The following is a 20,061-nucleotide window of genomic DNA, read 5'->3' as shown; positions in this document are numbered from 1 at the left end:
GGAAATGTGGCCCAAGATTAATTCTCAACATGCCTTTTAATAACCAGCAGGAAAAATCACTCATTCAGGTGGCTTCTAAATGAGTGTTCAGATGTATTTATGCGACCACATGTAAATCATGATGTAATCACCAGGAAGTCAAACTGAGATTGGCTTAAATTAGAGTTTACAAGGTTCTTACCCCAAGATTAAAACATGTGCCACATTTTTCCTTTATTTTATTATTTTTTTCTATCTGCCATTTTACTCTCATGTTTTATTACTTTGTATTATTGGAAAGCTTATTACAGTTTTACTTTATGAAACACTTAAGAAGACTGTTTATTAATGGCTTAATTTAGAAACAGCACAATTCTCATTTAATAAACTAGAATTCTGTAAGGCAGTTATTTCATATTCATAAACAATCCTCTTAGTATATTTTTTCAATAAGGCCAGAAAACTAATGTATAGCAGAGAAAAAAGTACACGCGAGAATAGATTTTATGTTTCATGCAAACCAAAACTCAAAAGTAACCTGTTATTTTACAGTCTTCACCTTCCCTTCAATTATACCAGCTTTAATATTTTTCCTTTGAATTCCCCTGAGTCAGATGGTTCTCTTAAGCCTCAAGATTATAAAAACAAGAAACCTCTCCAAAATCACGTGGTTAAAGTCTCAACCTGCCGTTAAAAATACTACTGGTGAGGCCAGTGCTGCATTCTCTGGACAGCTTTCATAGGCTGTACGAACTCAGAGAGTCACAGTGAACTGTAGGGAGCATGGCATTCTGTACCACCCTGTCCCTGGAAAAATACCATGGCAGACTCTGGGAATTGTCTACCCAACATCTATTTCCTATCTCACTGGCCCTTTCTTCTTTCCAGTAAAGAGGCTGAAAAAAGATGATTTTCCCATCTTCCCTTCCATCTGGGGATAGCCTTGTCACCAAGTTCTGGCTAAAAAGATGTAGAAAAACATCTATTAGAGCAATGCTTTTCAAACTCTGCTGTGTATAGGTATCACCCGGACATAGTGTCAAAATACTGAATCTGAATCAGGCAGGGCCAGGGACATTGCATTTTAATAAGTTCACTAGTGATGGGTGATGCTGTGATCTGAGGACCACAATTTGAGTAGCAAAGTCTTAATGGGCTTCTAGCAAGGATTTTCCTTCTTGATTTGGACATCAGGGAGAAAACTCCCTCTTGTTCTCCCTTCTGGCTTCCTGCTTTCTAATAGAATTGAAGAAGGACATAAATGTGGAGTGGGGTGACCCATCTTATATCCAAGAGGAATGGAGGCTAACATGCTGAGAATAGCAGAATAGAAGAATAGAACATGTCTAGGACTTTGATGATGTCATTTTGCCACTGAAGTCAACTAATCTTGGCACCTTCTATTTCTAGACTTTTTAAAAAATGGAATAAGAAGTATCATTATGACTTAAGTCACTACTTGTAATGTTTTCTATTATATGCAACCTAACAGTTCTTATGTGTTACACAAACTAACCTGATACATCCAGAGCTAGGTTTATAATCTATCAGCCCTGAGGCAAATCCCATTTCTTATAGTCAGTAGCCTACAGAGAGTCACCGGGCCTGGGGAATGTAATTCTTTGGCTGCCAGGTCTTCTGGGAGCAGAGAACATTCATTCATGTGCTGCTAGATGAAAAAAATATATATTCTTAAGATTGTGGCAATTAACCCATGGCACAAAAATGGGGAAAAGGTGAATGGAGAGAGGCATAAGATTTGAAACTGTTTCTTGTATTTTCTTATTCTCTAATTAAACTATTCTGAGGGATGACAGAACAAGTGGTTTCCTATGAGTGAGCTCATAAAGTGAAGTTTGCTGCTGAAACTCATTGGCATCCAAAGGCATTTTTTTGGTATCTAATACTGAAGGTATGTGTTGCAGAATTACAGTAAATTAACTAATGTGTATTATTTTGGAAAAGTTTGACACTTGCTTCTCCTAATATTAAACAAATACAAGGTGAATACAACTTTGTTAACAATGCATTTTGAATTTGTTTGCTCTATCTTTAAGACTATTTTACCCCCAAAGCTCTGATCATTCCAATTCTGTCCAACTCTTTGATATCTTTCTCTCTCACATCTCAATTTTCTCATAGTATTAGTTAGGTTACAATCTTACCTGCTGTGAAAAACAAACAATAGTAGCTTAAATTGGATACAAAACTATGTCTGCCTCATCTAACATCCAAAGACAGATATGGAGCTTCATGGTCAGCTCCTCACATTTCCACATTCTTCGTTGGCTATTGAATGGATATGGTTCAAAGCCAGTCCATTGGATTTCATCTTCCACTGGCTAATGTTTCCACATGGAAGAGATACACATCACTTTCCTTTTCTTCCCATTAGCCAAAGCAAGTTACAATTTAATGGAAGTTAGGGAATCACAATAACCACATGCCCAGAAGGAGGAGGATCAGAATATTTTTAAAGAGCCAAATAACTGCCACAATATTTAAACAGTGAATTGCAAATGCCATATAAGACTAGAAATACTAGTTATAATGATTGCTAGAACAAAATCAAAATTAAATTACTCCCCCTAATTTTGCTGCCAACAACTGTGTTAATCGCCATCCTCCCTACTTTGTGCAGTTTTTTTATGAGTTTCTCAGATACGGGCCATACCTACTAATGTGTGGCCTAACAGCCAGAGTAGAAAGGAAACCATGATTCCATTGGTCTATATTACATTGAGAAATTGGCCATGCAGCTAAAAGTCATCACATTTGATGTTCAAAAAAAGTTATCTTTCAAAGGTATTTTTCATTTTCCTGTAGAATTACTACTTTGGACAGCGCTGGGACTAGGAAAAATTGTGAATAGGGTATGACTTAGAGACAGTTTATAATATTTTGAGGGTAATAGCCCCTTTCTATTCTCTATCTTGCTTTCCAAGTCTTCTGTAAGTCCAATACCAACACCTAAGTTTTCACTTTCCAAGGAGAAATTCTTATTTGGGATCATTTCCACCTCAAAATTTACGATCAAAATTTAACTCCACTGTGATCTATTCTTTAAAGACACAGGTCTTTGCTAATCAATATGAAAAAAACTTATTACAAAGTGTTCATGGCCAAAAGGAATTGAATATGTAATTATTCCAACTAATAAATTTGTAAATTTACAAGGGCCTTCAATACCTTTAGCCAAAGGAGACAGAATAGGAATCTCAGTATTCAGGAAAAGAATTGTAGAAGATCTCTTTGAACAGATCTTCCCTGGGGGTTTCCCTTAAATCACTCCATAGACCTTAAAATGCTTGTTATAAACATGAATGATATATCTTTTTTATTACCGTGCTATTAAAGTAACCTAAGTGATACCATCTGATGCTGGCGAGGATGCAGTTTAACTGACCTCTAATACATTGCCTTGTATTGGAATGGGATGAATTCTGTTGGAAAGGTAGTTTTGATGATAAACTCAATCAATTAATCTAAGATTACGCATTAAATGTGATTGCTGATGAATGTTAGGTAAAATGCAAAAGAAACATTCAATGGTCCTATCCGCAGTCTCTTCTCCTGGCATACTACCTTCTTTGAGTTCCTCTAATACATATATGCCCCTTTGCTTTCACGTGACATTATATTTCCTGAAATGCACTCACCCCCCTTTCTCTATCCCATCTTACAGTTTTGCTGACTAATTCTTCGTTTATTATGCTTTATTTCAATGCTACTTCCTCTAGGAAGCCATTTGAGGCTCCATGAGGAGGGGATTCAATTCCTTCTATGTGTTTCCACAGGACCTCTACTTCCTCAAAGTACCGGTCACTCTGTAGGCTAGTCTACACCACCTGTAATAAGGAAAACCCCATCAAGACAGAGATGGTGGCTCCCTTGGTGCTATGATCTGAATGTTTGTGTGTCTCACCTCCCCCTTGATCTACAAATTTATATATTGAAACCTTAAGCCCCACAGTATTAATAGGTTTGGGGCCTTTGGGGAGGTGATTAGGTCATGAGGGCAGAGCTCTCGTGAATGTAACTATTGCCCTTGTATTATAAAACAGGCTTTAAAAAGCTTGTTTGCTCCTTCCACTATGTGAGGACACAATAAGAAAACAGTCTGCAACCCAAAAGAGGGCCCTCACCAGAACCTAAACATGCTGGCACCCTAATCTTGGACCATCCAGTCTATGGTATTTTGCTAGAGCAGCCCAGTATACCAAGGTACTTGGTCACTGTTGCCTTCTTAGTACATCAGGAATAGTATCCATAGTACTGCTCAAAAGCATATTTTGAATAAATTAGTTAACATATTTAGCATTGTAGAAGATTGTCTCTTTATAATATACTTACTGGTTTTACCCTTGCCTGATGTTAGGGTTTCAAAATTTAACAGTTGTAAGAAAGCAATAATAGATACAGAGAGATCTACTCTATTAGATATAGATCTAGGTAGATTAATACATTATCTAGAAATATGTAAACAGTCTCACTATTAGGTGAAACAAAATATGTAAAAAGCTGTAAGTACAAAGATGCCCCTAGCAGTCTTCTTTATCTTATCAAATATCAAGTGTATTCCAAATGTTCCTAAATAGGGGAATATTTAAATTAATTATAGAGTTATGCTTGAATGGAATAATATGTAGCCATTGAAATGATGGTTATAAAAAAGGAGGGTTGAGGAGACTATGTCACAACATGGAAACGCCTTATAATAAAATGTTAGTCAATTACAAAGTAAGATACTAAATCATGCGGACATCATTATTATAAGTATGTGAAAAAATTTGTATGAAAAGAAATAATGATTGCATTTAAGTAAAGAATAGTGGATTTTTTTGGTTTATATTTCTATTCATGTGATTATGTTGCTTTTATAATTAAAGTATGTAATAATGATATTTGTAACTTTAAATGCAATGAATCTGCCTTATGGGTAACAAAATAAGAGTTTGTCTAACCCTTGTGGTTCAAAGTTTAAGAGATAAGATACAAAGAATGCAAACCAATATTAACTGGATCAAAAAAGAGATTTTACTTCATGTGATTGATTGATAGGAAATAAATTGCTAACTCAATAAAAATTGTTTCTTTTGCAGAACTCTTTTTGCCCAACAGAATGTGGACAGCAGAACTGCTTTATAAATTGGGAGGAAGGCACACCTGGAAGATGGTGATGCCAGCACAATGGGAAATGTGCCAGTGTGTAGAATTCTTCTCTGGTCTTTGTAAATAGAAATGCTCACTTTCTATGTGAAACACCTAAATGATTCGATGCCAAACGCAGAATAAGTTTAAAGGTAGAACAAGCAAATAGCTAAACAAGGGAGTGTTTCAGAAAGGAAATATGTCAAGCCTTGGCTCAAAAGCAAAACAGTCTTTTCATGAAGGGAAGTGTTCACAGCATCTATTAAATGCATACTCAGTCACAAAAATAAAACCCATCTGTTTAATATTAACATTTGTAATAAACATTTTAAAAAAAGGAATGTAGAAGGCAAAAATGTATTGTAAAACAAAATGTACACTCTTGGGATAACTAAAACTTCCTCTGAAAGAATTGCAGTACTCTAAAGCTTGTTCTTTATACCAAAAGCAATAACAATTAGTTGCATGACACTGCAATAGCAGAGGCATATTCTGCCCTTTGAGAGGACAGGATATTAATCTGAAAATTGAGCATACGCTCCCATAGTATAGAATGCCAAACTTCCTTGGATGCAACTTGCCAAAGCAAAATTATACACCTGAAGTGTGTCCTAAAATTTAGAGACAGAAATGATGTATTTTAAAATCATGACTTAGATATTTGAAAGTTTTTGGCTACATTAGGAAGCTAATTGTCATGTACTTCGATACAGAATCAAGATGTACTAATTTTTATTGGTACACTGGCATTAAATGAATGTGTAGCATATGTTTAAAAGGATGTATCTGAGAAGCAAGGATGAGGGTAATAGAATACTAAAGTCTAAACTGAGGGTCGCTTCAATATTTTATTAGCCATTTTATGCATATGAACACAGACCATATTAGATACTTAGCAAGTAGGGGAAAAAAACCTGTTTCTATCAGGGGAAGGATTATCTCTATTGAGAAACACATGTTAATAGGTCTGTCTAGTTCGGAAGAAGCTGCCTCTCTTGGTCAACATTGGATGATGTGGAGCTGTTCTATCCAATATAACAAGCACTAGCCACATACAGCTATTGAAATGTACATGGTAAATTAATTAAACTCTAATGTCATGTTTAATTCTTTAAGTGCTTAATAGCCATATACAATTAGTGGCTACCATACTGTGTAGTGCAGATTACAGAGCATTTCCATCATCATAGAACGTTCTATTGTATAGGACCGGTCTGGGTAAAGTTTGGGAGATAGAGAAACTACTCCATGGGAATCTTGGATTTAGGGGCGAGTAAAACTTTCACAAAGTGGCAAGGAGATCTGAACAGAGAGGCAAAAATTGCAGTGTCGTGAGAAGCCAGAATCTTGTCAGAAAAGAGAGACTGTTGGCTATAGAAATGTCTGAAGTGTTTTTTCAAAACCGAATACCTGAGATTAAATGTAAACTGCTCCACCTCCTCCCACTGATACCTTTTGTTACAAATCTTCAGGAAACCTAGAATGGAACAACACAGCAAGGGCTGCTGCCTGGGCATTAGAAATAGAACACCACACCCAATGGCTAAAGCTGGTGGCCAGAGATAAGAACTTAGAGGCATCTCTCCTGCCTAGCAGACTGGGCCCTGTGTTTTCCCGCCACTTCCTTTAAATAAACCATTCAGGCACTTGCCTGTAAACTGAAAGTGATCCATATTCTGCTAGCTGCCACTCTCTCTTTCTCTCTGCCTGACCTTTCATTCCTGCCTTGCGTGACCGAGGGATGGAGGGCTGCCCTCCAGATTCATTGCACCCTCCCTGCCCAAGGCCTTAAGCAAAAAGCTTTGACTTTGCTTGTTTTTGTGGTGGTGTATTGAATTTTCACCTTCCATCTGAAGAACTGGGGACTACCCTAGGCTAGATTTTCCAAGGGAGGCCAGGACGAACACAAGAGCAGTCTCCCAGTACTAAGGCCATGGTCAGGTAGGCATAAACTGGACACAGGTCAGGCAAGAGTCTCAAGGATGTCTGCCAATATAACCAAGTTCCCCATGTGAGGGACATCCTGGTCTCAGGTCAGACAGCTAGGCACTAAGCCATCTGCTAGGTGAAAGAAGTGTCCTGTGAAAGGCTCCTTTTCGTTTCCTGTTAGGGCAGGATTGCTAGCCTCTCTGGTACTGGAACCACAGTTTAGCTAGGGGCTCTCAAAACAACTCTCCTCCACACATAGCCATGGGTCAACGGTATCTGGGGTAGTATGGGTCAGTGTCATAATCAGCAGATGCAATGAAGCATGGATATTAGAAATTCAATAGAAATAGCAACTTAAGGTCAGAGGTAACCAGGAAAGAAAAATAAGACACCGGCCCCACCTCAGTACCCCAACATAGCCATAAGAAATGATCTCCAGAGAACTGTCGAAAGCAACTTGTATTAAATTAATCTAAGGCAACTTCAGTTGGTTGTAGAATTACTTCAATTATCCAATTGATACAAGTTACACACATGTGGAAAAAATTACAAATTACTATTCCTTTGTCTTTATTTCCTGACAAACAATAAACATTTTCTTAGGCATTAAGAAGGATAAAGTAAAGAACCCAAATGCATTCTCCTCTATTTATTCAGCGCAGAAAAGGCTTAGGTTAAAAAGTCCTAGAGATAATTTTTATGAGGTGGAAATTTCTTGATTGACAATGAGAGATTGATCATGGAAACTTCCTCTTACCTTTCTTTTATCTTTGCGAGCTCTTTGCTGCTGTTTTCAGATGTGTTAGGAATAGAGATAAACTTCTGGCAGGCCTATTTTGTGAGGTAGATATTCTAGCTCAGAATAAAGTGAAGGTTTATGTCACCAGATTTCTTGGTCAATACTAGGAAGACGTTTAGCTTCTTGGGTGGGTGCAAGAGTAACTGACTGTTCTTTTGTTTTCCAGAAACCAGTCACATCCACCATATTAAACAAGAATTTGTTATTTATTTGTGGATTTTTTAAGTCTTTTGGTCAGCCCTGCAAATAATAAAGACTTCTAAAATTAAAGGAATACCAAAATAACTATGGCATTTCCTTAGTTAAGCATAATGGCTTCTTCAGAGCAGACTCACTGCATAAACACTGAACATATTCTTTCCCTCCAGTAACATCTGTGAACAAGTTTACCACTTGGGAAAACGAGAGACTAGTAACTATGTCCAGACACGGTTGGGCACAGGTGCTTCAACAAACCATTCCACAAATACACCCCAGTTCCGACAAGTGAGCTATTTCTGACTGATCCTTTGAGACTTCCAGTCACACTGTGTGTTTGGCCTGGGAGCAGGTGACCCACTGGCAGGGCAGTCAGCATCATCAGCTCAGGGGATGGACTTTACTGGCAGAGTGCCTTCCCTAAACATATTGACTCTCCCAACAGAGAACGGCAGCCCAGCGATTTATTAAAAGCAATTGTGTATTTCCTTGGTCTAGCCAAACATTTGGTGCATGTTACACAACCCTCTAAGACCAAGCTTCAGTCTGACTCTGAAGAAAAGCTGTCCCCCACTAGCCCAAATTATAATGAACCTCTGATCTCCCACAGTGACCAATTTCTGGGATGTTCATTGGTACTTAATCATGTACTGCCTTGTGAGAGGTACTTCTTCCACTTGTAATGAAATTTTTTTATTTTCCTCATTTAAAACGTTTGCAATTTACCCCTGTTAAATTAAATTTATGGGATGGCATTGTCTTGAATTCAGCTTGTACACAAGGCCCCAAGAGACCAGCCCAGCCCAGAATGGAGTCATGTGTGCTAGGTGCCACATAATCAAACTGATCATGGCTTTTAAAAAGCCAGTTTAAACAACAACGAAAACAAACCAGATTTTCAGCAACCAGTCCAAACAGGTCCAGTCACCGTAAGCTGGCATGATAAGGAAACTTTCTCTTCCTTAACCCTGTAAGGAAAGTAACTTTTAAACAATGAATCCACATTTTGTTTCTTGTTTTATGTTCTTCAGCCTTTCTGTCTATAAAGCCTACTCCCTCTGCTCAGCTCATTCGAATGTCTTTCTGTTTTGTAGATGGAATGCTGCCTGATTCACAAAACACTAATAAAAAAGAATTTGATCTTTGAAACACAACTTGCTGAAATTTTGTTCTTTGACACCCTTAACTACATTTCATACTCTTTAATGGTAAAGACATTTTTAAAAAATTTCATTTGTTTTGTAATAATATTAAGTGTGACAGCTTATGTCTAATAGGCCTTAATCTATTTTTATGAATTTGAAAATAGATTTTTAACATTGGAATTTAGAAATAAGCATAAACCCTTAACCCCTTATAAAATTGTTTTGGGTAGCAAAATGTCATTTAGCATTCTAGTAGAGTCAGAGGGAGAAAAACTAATTCTCTTTTATTAAAGTTGGGGATTGGTGAGTGTGTGAAGAGAAAAGGCAGAACAGATACTCTAAAGCTTGGGAGATCCAGAATCATTATTCGATGTGCTAGCAGAAAGAAATCCCCTGAATCAATTAACTACTCAAATGTAAACTGCCCATCTCTAGAATCAGCCATATAAAAATCAAAAGCTCTTCTCTGCTTCGTAACACCCACTATATTGAAGCTGGTTATTTTATAATAGTGATGTTGTTCTGGTCATAGACACGTAGTATCTGGATTTTCCCTATAAGTGACACTTTGTATGCTCACATATTGGATGCATCAGCTAAACCATGTTCAATGTTTAGCAAATCAGTGGTTTTAGAATTCAAAGTTAGCAAACAAACTCTTTTTTCAAATGACATTTTACTTCAAAGACCTGTGAGAAGTGAACACAGCCTATTATTCTTGAATACTCTAAAAAAAACCCTAGAGAATTGGAATTATTTGGCCTGTGCAAAAGAGAAAATTTTGAGAACAAATTAGCTGTTCTCAACCTTATCAAAAGACAAAGAGGAAATGCATAAATAAAATGCCTTTAATGCATGTATAGCAAGAGGGGATTTTTCTTTACTCTCATTTTTGAGAGTGGCAAGCATGTGTGTTTTTATTAAACCAGAGGCAGACTTTGTTATCATAATGGTGCATCAAATGTATGTACACATGAAACCATTACCATAATCATGATAGTGAACACATTGATCACCCTTGAAACTTTCCCTGTGCCTCTTTTGTCTCTCTCGCCTGTCCCCCAACCTGACCTCACAATCCCCAGAGCGACACTGCTAACCTTCTGACACTATAGATGAGTCTGTATTTTCTAGAATTTTATATAATTGGAATAATATATTATGTAACCTTTTTTGTTTGGCCTCTTTCACTCAGCATAATAATTTTATGATCCATCCATGTTGTGTTCAGTACTTTTTATTGCTGAGTAGTATGCCATTGTATGGCTATATCAAAATTTGTTAATCCATTCACCTGTTGATAGATTTTGGGGTTGCCTCCAGTTTTGGGCTATTACCAATAAAGCTGCTAATATTTGTATGTAAGTCTTCTATGGGCATATGCTTTTATTTCTCTTGGGTAAATACCTAGGAGTGGAAAGGCAGAATCATATGGTAGGTGTATGTTAATCTTTTTAAGAAACTACCAAATTGCTTTTCAAAGTGGTTTCCATTTTATACTGCCAACAGCAATATATGAGAGCTAAATTTCCTCTGCTTCCTTGCCATCATTGATGTGATTATACCTGTAATTCTAGTTATTCTACTAGATGTGTAGTAAAGTTTTATAGTTCTTTATATTCAGCTTATATGTTCAAATTCCAATTTATAGAATGATATTCTCAACTCGCTATGTTTTAAAACTACATCTTTACCAGTAACAGTCACAGTGTCACTGGCCATAGGGTCCTGGTAGGATTCAAAACCATAAGGCAATCAATATCTAAGTGGAGGCTCCTCATCATCTTGTTGGCTTCATGGTATTTGTAGTTGAGGGAATGCTAGATCACCAGTGCATCTGTCAATTTCTCTTTGGAAAAGACCCAGTGAAATGGCTGTCATATTATATGAGAAAACACCCATCTGTAGCACTGTTTTCTTTAGGTCTGTAATTTAATGAGCAAAAGAGACAAAGAATATGTTCTTAAGCTACTTTGTGTTTGACACTTGAGAGAGATGTGTAGGATCAGGAAGTGTTTGGACTGAGGATAAAGGGCCACACTGCCCTGTTTTCCCAGTCCTAGAATAAGAAAGCTTATGTAAGAGGTAATGCTTTCAGAATCCATCAGTCGTATCCCATATTGGATAGACTCTACCTTCTAGTGTTTCTCTTACTCACTTTTTCAGTTCCCTTTTAGCTCATTCAGGAACCCAGTTTCCTAGGGATTTTTTATTGCTATACCTTGGACTAGAACAAGGTATAATTTTGGGCAGGTGTGTAGCCAGATAGAAAAAACAGGGTTTGAAGAAGGCAGTGGGTTGTATCTCAGCAGGGAAGAATATATCTAATGGGAATTTCAATGTTTGATATATTTTCCCTTACAGTAATCCAGTTTTCCCTTTTCCCATATTGCTCTTCAAAAACTAAGGCTAGACTCAGAGTTTTATTATTCCAGGAAAATAATGTGTAGCTATTCCCTGGATCAAAAATGCCATTCCTCAGATTTGAGTCTAAAATCAGATTTTTAAAACATTTTGTGAAACAACAGCATTAAAATTCAGACCCTGTTGAAACAAAAACTTTTAGAAAAAAGAAATTCCCAACTTTTCTTTGTATATCAAGATCAAAACATGGGAGTGTGAACCTAAGTATTATAAGCCACAGTAAAGAAAGGAATGAAGACATGGTGTAAGAAAAGACTTCATCTAACAGAAATAAAAAAAGATTTTTTCTAATTGCTGTGGAGCAGAGCCAAGAGAGGGTGAAGGTTTGGCAAGAGGTCATATACAAGTGTCCTAGCTCCTCTTTTAGTGCCAAAGTCCCTGTGATCGTGAGTAGAAAGATACAAAACAGGAACAATTCAAGGGCATTGGAGCTAATGGACTGTGTCCACAGAACCAGTCCATGAGACTATGCTATACCAGTCCATGAACTTAGCAAAGCCCTATGTTCTGTTTGGTCTTAGTGTCTGAAGAGAATAGTGATCGCTGAGAGAAAGGCATTGAACTATCTCACAGAATCCTGCAAGCTGCAGCAAAATGTGGAGGAAGCAGGCAAATGTTCCGGGCTTCCCTGTGGGGCACTGAGGTACCGGACCAGCCGCCCAAGGAAGTCTGTGGTACAGGGGTTAATGCACAAAAAGGCAGCAATGAAGCCCATGGTCAGTGATCTGTGAATTTCAGTACAAGTGCATAGCACCAGTCCAGACAAGAACAGCCACAACGCAGCAGGCGTCTGCAGATCCCTCCCAGTAAGGACGAAAGATAGGGCATCTCAGCAAATGCTGAAGAGCAGAGGATGGCATGAGGAAGAGACTGCCCTCCCAAATACTATAAAAATGCATTTGCTTCCACTAATATCCAGAGGCCAGTTTGGACAGAAAGAAAGGGAGCAGAAATTTTGAAACTGAGAATTAATCCTGATGAGAAATTAAAACTAACAGAATAATTTACCTTTAATTGGCAAGTGCAATTATTTTTTCTGCTATCATCAGCAGGAATGGGGTTTCCAAGATAAGATGAGATCAGTTTCTGGATATAAAGAAACTACATTTTGTTGCAGATTTGAATTGTGCTGTACACTTTTTACCAGGTCCCCCGACCCCAACCCGCAACAACCACTGCACCACACATTCCTATGTGTTAGCAGTCATCTCAGGCAGAATTCTCCAGGGACAGCCTGGTCCTCAGCCCTATGCAAATGCCACTGATCTCCTTGAGTCCCAGTCTAGAGCACCATGGCTACTCCCGTCTCTGGGAAAATGATCCTGTTGCCTTGTGCAGAATACAAATCTCCTGGAATAAATAAATACAGATAACGATGCTTTGTTGGTTCAGGTCATCTCACCCTTTTTCTCTCATAAAGGGGAGGACAAGAGAATTAGATCCTTGTTTTGACTCTTCTTCAAATATGGATAGTGTACATGAAAAGGAGACACAAAGCAGGTTTATACAAGTCTCTTGTTCTATTCTGTTAGTCTTATAAATAGTTCTATAAAGAACACACAAAAATAACAGAAATAATACTTAACTTTTAACTTTTAATTGATTCTAATAATCACATAAAGTAGAAATCTTGACACAATCAGGAATTATAGTTGTCATTAATTTAAATATCAGTTCAAACACTTACTTATAAAAGTTATACATACCTTTCCCTTTTTATTTTAACTAAAATATGCATTTATTCACCATTATACAAATTATACAAATGAATGCACTTTTGCTTACCAATCTTTTGATTTAAAGCCAATAGGTCAAATGATTAAACACATGCTGTTATTCTTAATAAACTACCTCATTGTGTATTATTAATAATTTATAATTTTTATTTAATCCACTTATTTAAGGTGGACTGAGCTCTTGAAAATACTTGTGAAGCAATTTGGGTGTAAAATCATTCTAGAGTAAGATGATTCTCCACTCTATTTTTTACAATAACTATCCACAGGTAATTCATTGGTAATTTTTAGTTACTCATCTCAATCTAATTTTGAATAAGTTTTCCACTTAATTTTCATAGAAGCAACTTTTTAAATGTTTTCACTCATAGTTTATTGATTTATATAACGTGTTTAGTTTACATATTTAAAGTTATAAGTACAACTGGCATAAACTGATTTGGAAATAAACACAACTGGCTATGGTATTGGTCAACATATATCTCAATTGGTAGGTGCTTGCCAGACTAAAAGCTGCCAACAGTGAACATTCAGCAAGCCATGGGCAATAGTGTGCTGGAATGGAAAATATTGGTTAGTACGGAAAGTTGATGAATTGGTCATAAGGTAATAGAGTTTATTACAAAACCATTCCCAGCAAATTCATATTGCATTACACAGCAATTTTTTACAAAGTTCACCAGAAGCATCCTTTATCAACGAAGTCAATCAGTTTTCATGTACCTACTTTGTAGTGCTTAGTAAGGCACTCTCTATATGTGATTTGTTATTTTTGTCTTCATAAAGGTTGAGCATCCCTTATTTGAAAATCCAAAATCCAAAACTTTTTGAGCACTGACATGACTTCTCAAGTGGAAAATTTCACACATAAGAATTTAATACAGACTTTGTTTCATGAACCACATTATTTAAATATTGTATAAAACCACAATAGATCAGGCTATGTATATAATAAAGGGTGTATGAATTTCATAATAAATGGGAAATGAATTTCATAGATGAATAACATAAATAACAAATGAATTTAATGTTAAGAGGAGTCCCATCCTCAAGATATCTTATATATATGCAAATATTCCAAAATCTGAAGAAATCTGAAATCTGAAACACTTCTGTTCCTAAGCATTTTGAATGAGAGATATTCAACCTGTAATCTATTTATTTCCTACCTGGTCCTCTAACTTTGAGATATTGAGTAAGTCCTGGGTTTTTAATGTACAAAGAGAGCTCTTAGCCTGGCGTTTTAGTTACTTCTATTCTGCTTTTCTGCAATTATTCCTTATTTTCTTGCCACAGTTTTGCCTACTTTTTATCAATTCCCAAGATCAGTTCTATACCATGTTTTAAATAAGCAGTTTTTCAAATTGTTTACCAATCAATAAAGCAGGGACACTGTGACGGTTAATTTTATGTGTCAACTTGACTGCACCATGACATGCCCAGATATTTTGTTAAACATTATGTCTGAGTGTGTTTGTGAGAGTTTCCAGAAAAGATTACCATTTGGATCAGATTAAGTAAAGCAGATTTGCCATCCTAGGGTGGGTTGGCCTCATCTAATCCGTTGGAGGCTTGAATAGAACAACAGGTCTCCAGTAAGGAAGAGTTTGCTAGCTCAACCTGTTTTCAAGCTGGGACATCAGTCTTCTCCTACACTTAGACGGGAACTTACATGATTGTTTCTCCTGTTTTTTAGGCCCTCAGCTTGGACTGGAACTACACCCCCAGCTCTCCTGGGTCTCCAGCTTGCAGAGGAAAGATTGCAGGACTTCTCAGCCTCCATAAATGCGTAAGCTAATTCCTTACAAAAAATCTCTCTCTCTCTCTTTCTCTCTCTCTCTACACACACACACACACACACACACACACACACACACACACACACACACGTATCCTCCTATTGGTTCTGTTTCTTTGGAGATCTTGACTAATACAAGCACCTTTCAATCAGATTGGAGGCTGCCTAATGCTGGAAGTGGGCCACCCATCTCTACTGTGCTAAATTTCAACCTTTTAGTTGCCTGATCATGGAGAGGTCTAGGTGGCCTGGGTAGCAGAAACACAGTCAAAGCTCAGAACAGCAGTTATTTGTCCTCATGTATCTTAATATTTTAGCAAGTACAACTCTCTGTGTGTGACAACAAACTACAGAATTCTCTTATAATTCTAAGGCATTGTGTGTGTGTGTGTGTGTGTGTACACAAATGCATATGCACACTAACGTAACTCCCAGAAATGATTTCCACTGACAAGTCATAAAGAGTTGTAAAAAAAAATATGACTAGTTTAGTACACAATACTAATTCTTCTTAGACTTTCCATCACTAGAAGTCCAATATTAATAATTTTACCATAAAAGGGGTGGTAATCAGAAAATATTCTCACTTCTGATGGACTACTTTAAAGTTGAAATGGTGTTATGTTTCCATTAATAGCCTGGATCTCATTAAGTCATTAACACATTCTAAATTCAGTGACACAAATTCGAAGTAAAGCAAATGGGAAGGAGGAGGGATCTTTAAGCTTTAAAAGATCTCCCTGCTTTAAGCTGAAGTTAAAGCTGACCATACCAAAGACATAAAGCACTTTTTAGTGTGAAATGACATTTGTGGTTATGTTTCTATTTGATGAGAAATGTTAAGTTTGTGACAATCATCCATCCTTACTGTGAATTTTTTTTCATTAAAAATATGTGTATTACTCAAGTATTTATAGATAAACTAAGATGCTATCATGAATTTGTTTCAAAAGAATTCAACGGACAGTTGGAGGAGTAGGAAGTATGGATAAAATGAGATTGGCTGTGTTTGATAATTATTGAAGCTGGTGTTGGGTAAACGGGGGTTCATTATTTTATTCTATTTTTATGTATATTTGATGTTTTCCACAGTACAAAGCTTTTTTCTCTCCATTTTCTATTTTTTACTTTAGCCATAATTATACTTGTGTCTCTAATTCATATTTTAAAAGTAAAATACAAGATAATTAAGATGGTATGTATCCAATTAAAATTAAAATAAATCTTAAAATAATGAGCCCTTTTTCATAGCCATTCCATTATTTGTCTTTTAATCATGATAGTGTTCTTTATGGAAATCACAGAAATTACTTTGAGTTCATCATTACAGATTTAATAAAGTTTAGAGAATTTCTGTTTGTTAATTCATTTAACAAATATTGAGTACCTCCTTTGTACCAGAAACAGTGTGGGAGGGTTATCTGCACTGAGTGAAAATATATTTTTTCATTCCCCTCCAACAGACAGTTGTCAAATCTATGCTGCATTTTAGTTATTTTCTTGTTTGTCAGCTCAAGGCATACAGCATCCCTTATGAAAATATTGCTGAGTTTTGCTTTCTGCTAAGAAACTTACTATTTTTAGAAATAACATGTTTTCTTATTCTAAGTATTTTTTAATTTATTGATTTCTATAAATAGCCCATCATCAAAGTGGGATAGATCAATAAGATAAATTAATTACTTTTTGGAACTGGCCTAGTATCTAACATCTGAAGAAGGTAAAAATACTAATTATAGAATGGTACAGTAAAAAAGAATACAACCTTGTGAGAGACCATTGTCAGGTCTGGAATTTTATTTTACTCTACTTACAAACTATTACGTCAGCCTGTTATGATTTCATATGAAGACATAGACTCTTGGATCAGAAACACAGGAGTTTATTAAGCATAACACAGCAAGCTTCCTGCTGTGAGGTTCTTCCTGCTCAAGTCCCATGAGCATGACTCAATGTGTTCAGATATTTGGGACACACAGTGGGTTTGCATCACAGCTAAGGAACACTGAACTTGGGGAATCCACTGCTTTTATAGAAAACAATAAGCAAGCCCATTCTCTTTTCAATCTGGGGGAATATGCTTACCTCATCTCTCAGAAGAGATTAAAAATATTCAGTGTATCCCAGACAAGGAACTGGGCTAGAGGACGTCTATAGTCATTCCCAACTCTGATGTGCTGAGCAGTAAGCTGTGTTCTGCAACTGTGTTTTTCTGTTGCGCATTAGACATGAATTAGACATGAGAATCTCTAAGTCAATCATTCAATAACAGTTGTTGCTTTTTTTTTTTTGAGACAGGATCCTGCTCTGTAGTCTAGGCTGAAGTGCAGTGGCATGATCATAGCTCACTACAGCTTTGCACTCCTAGCCTCAAGCAATCCTCCCGCCTCAGCCTCCCAAAATACTGGGGTTACATGTGTGAGCCACTGTGCCTGGCCTCAATCACAGTTTTTAAACAGATATACCAAGATACAATTTTTCAGTAATAAGTTTCTCCTTCTGGGACCCCATTCTATTTTATGCTAAATACTTAAGATAAAATCAGCAAAATTCAGTGATTTCACAGCTATTTTGGTTTCAACCTTCAATGATGTTGGGGCCACCCCTTCTCTGGGGTTTGATGCTCCTGGGACTTATATAAACTAATGCTGCTATGCTGGGAGTGAGGATGAGGAGAAAAGGAAGATGTTCACCCTGGTCTGTTCAGGTTCTAGGCTGCATTCTTGTTTTACACGTCATTTCTGTCATGTACATACAGTCCATTTGCAGGACTTTCTTGGATTGATGGTGAAGTCATAAAGAAAAAAAAGGAGTATATCAGTTAACAAAGTATTATCCCCACCACACCAAGCTAATCAAATATTGCTTGATAACTGAAAGCATCTATGTGTAGGAGGAAAGTAAGAGTCTAACTCTCGTAAAGTTAAAAGCTACTTGTCTTCAGATTTTTCTCCCTCCTATATGAAGCCTAGCATGGAGTATATGCACAATTGCACACATGTTTCTTGGCAGAGTAGAATCTAGAAAGAGTAAGCTACTAAACGTTACTCACTATGACCAGGAGAGGGCACCTAGCACAAATGAATAAAATAATTCAGTCAACACCAGGTTTTATTTTAAGATTCCTTTTGGACTCTACCATTTGCATTTTACAAATCAATTTATTTTATGTGTCCACTGTAAACTGTTTTTGATCTAAGGATAAGTTCGATTACACATTCTTCCTGATGACTGTCTCCTACAATATGTTATCCTAGGTGGCTGAGATACTGATTTTTCTACACAGGGTGCAAGAACAAGTCCATACGAATAGGAAACAATTACAGAGGAAAAAAATTATTTTTGTAGATAATTTTCAAAAATAATGCTCTAGAGGAACTAAAATGTGTTTAAGCAACCTTTCAGAAGAGGAGAAACTCATATTTATTGAAATCTTGTAAGGAAAGACTTTCTTTCCTCCATTTCTTATGCATGTATGTGGTTTGGTCTAGATTGCAAGCCATGCTCAAAAAATTACCTTTGAACACTCTCAAACATAGGAAAGAATATTATTCTGTCATAAAACAAAATGGAACACTATATTTCCCAGAAGAAAAGAGGAAACTTGAATTCTATGTATTTCCTTTCTGGCCTAGCAGACGTAAACAACAATAAATTGGCCAACCATGTTCTTCAGGCATATAATTTTCTTTCTTCCTAAAGTGGACACTCCCTGGGAAAATACAAATAACTTCTAATTTCAAATCCTTTCAACACAAAAGGAAAGTAGGCCACCTTGACCAGAGCACAAAATAATCTTTTCCAAGAGGACTTGAATGAGTACCTCATTCTCCAAGGGAAAAATACATACCAGGATTTTTTACTACTTTATTTTGTTTGATTTTTAAATACTTTTTATAGCCATGAAAAAAAAAAACATATTGATGAATTGATTTTTCCAAAACAAAATCAGCATGTCTTTTAAATTTAGCATGAACGTGGCTTCCCAGCTGCAATATTTTTGAGAGTGGTTAAGGGACTTGCTTGGAGGGCGTTGCCCAGTGTTTTCAGCTCAGGGGTAATAGTTCCACTCACGAGGCATTGATCTTACACTCTAAAGTCACCAAAAACACCAAACTGTTTCTGTCCTACTAGAACATATTATAGGGATAAAGAATTCCTGCAATTCAACAGACTACGGTTTAATTTGCATGATAGTAACTATAATCAACTTTAGTCCAGGAACCTAACTACTTCCCATTCAAAGGAAGAACATTTTGCTTTTGGCTGACAATTCACTTTCAATTCATTAATAATAATAACCAATATCATTATTGAACGACTGCTATGTGCCATTATCCTCTTAACTACCTTCCAAGATAGTTTTTGTTATCCCTGTTTTACAGAAAACTGAGGAGGCTCAGAGAAGTTAATGAACTAACCCTCGGTACAGAGTAATCAGTGACAAAAGCAGAACTGGCATGTCTGGCTGCTAAAACTATGTGGTCTCCACTAAACCTCATTACTTAATTGCATAAATTATTTCACCAAATTGAAATGCAAATCCCACCTTCTTTTCATAGCCATGGTAACTGCTTTCCCACTTTTCTATTTTTCAATTTGGAGGAGAAACGAGTTACGAAGCAAATTAATTTTTAGTTCCCCTAATAAGAAAGTACTATGAATTCTTATTATATAAAACACATTTAAATTACTAGGCTGAGTACACAGTATAATATATATTTTCAGAGATCTTGTTATTAATAAAATATTGTCATTTTTTTCTATTTACTCATAAACCCAGGTAAAAATCTTGTTGTTAGATACAACACTTAATGATCTAATAATAAAGTTCTTGAGACAGCAATATATAGTAATCTGTGATAAAATATAGATTTCAGCAAGTTTAAGTAGATTCTGATA

General features: G+C 36.4%; 1 long non-coding RNA gene across 1 annotated transcript in view; it reads left to right on the top strand.

Moving 5' to 3' along the window:
- ZNF474-AS1 (ZNF474 antisense RNA 1) overlaps window positions 1-6,684 on the top strand; it is a 41,478-nt gene extending 34,794 nt beyond the window's left edge. The window contains exon 5 of the long non-coding RNA XR_007058915.1: window positions 5,082-6,684. This is a non-coding gene — a long non-coding RNA (ZNF474 antisense RNA 1). The remainder of the gene's footprint in view (window positions 1-5,081) is intronic.

This window comes from Homo sapiens, chromosome 5 (genome assembly GCF_000001405.40).
Source record: "Homo sapiens chromosome 5, GRCh38.p14 Primary Assembly".
NCBI classification, from domain to species: domain Eukaryota; kingdom Metazoa; phylum Chordata; class Mammalia; order Primates; family Hominidae; genus Homo; species Homo sapiens.
This window is presented reverse-complemented; position numbering and strand designations above follow the sequence as displayed.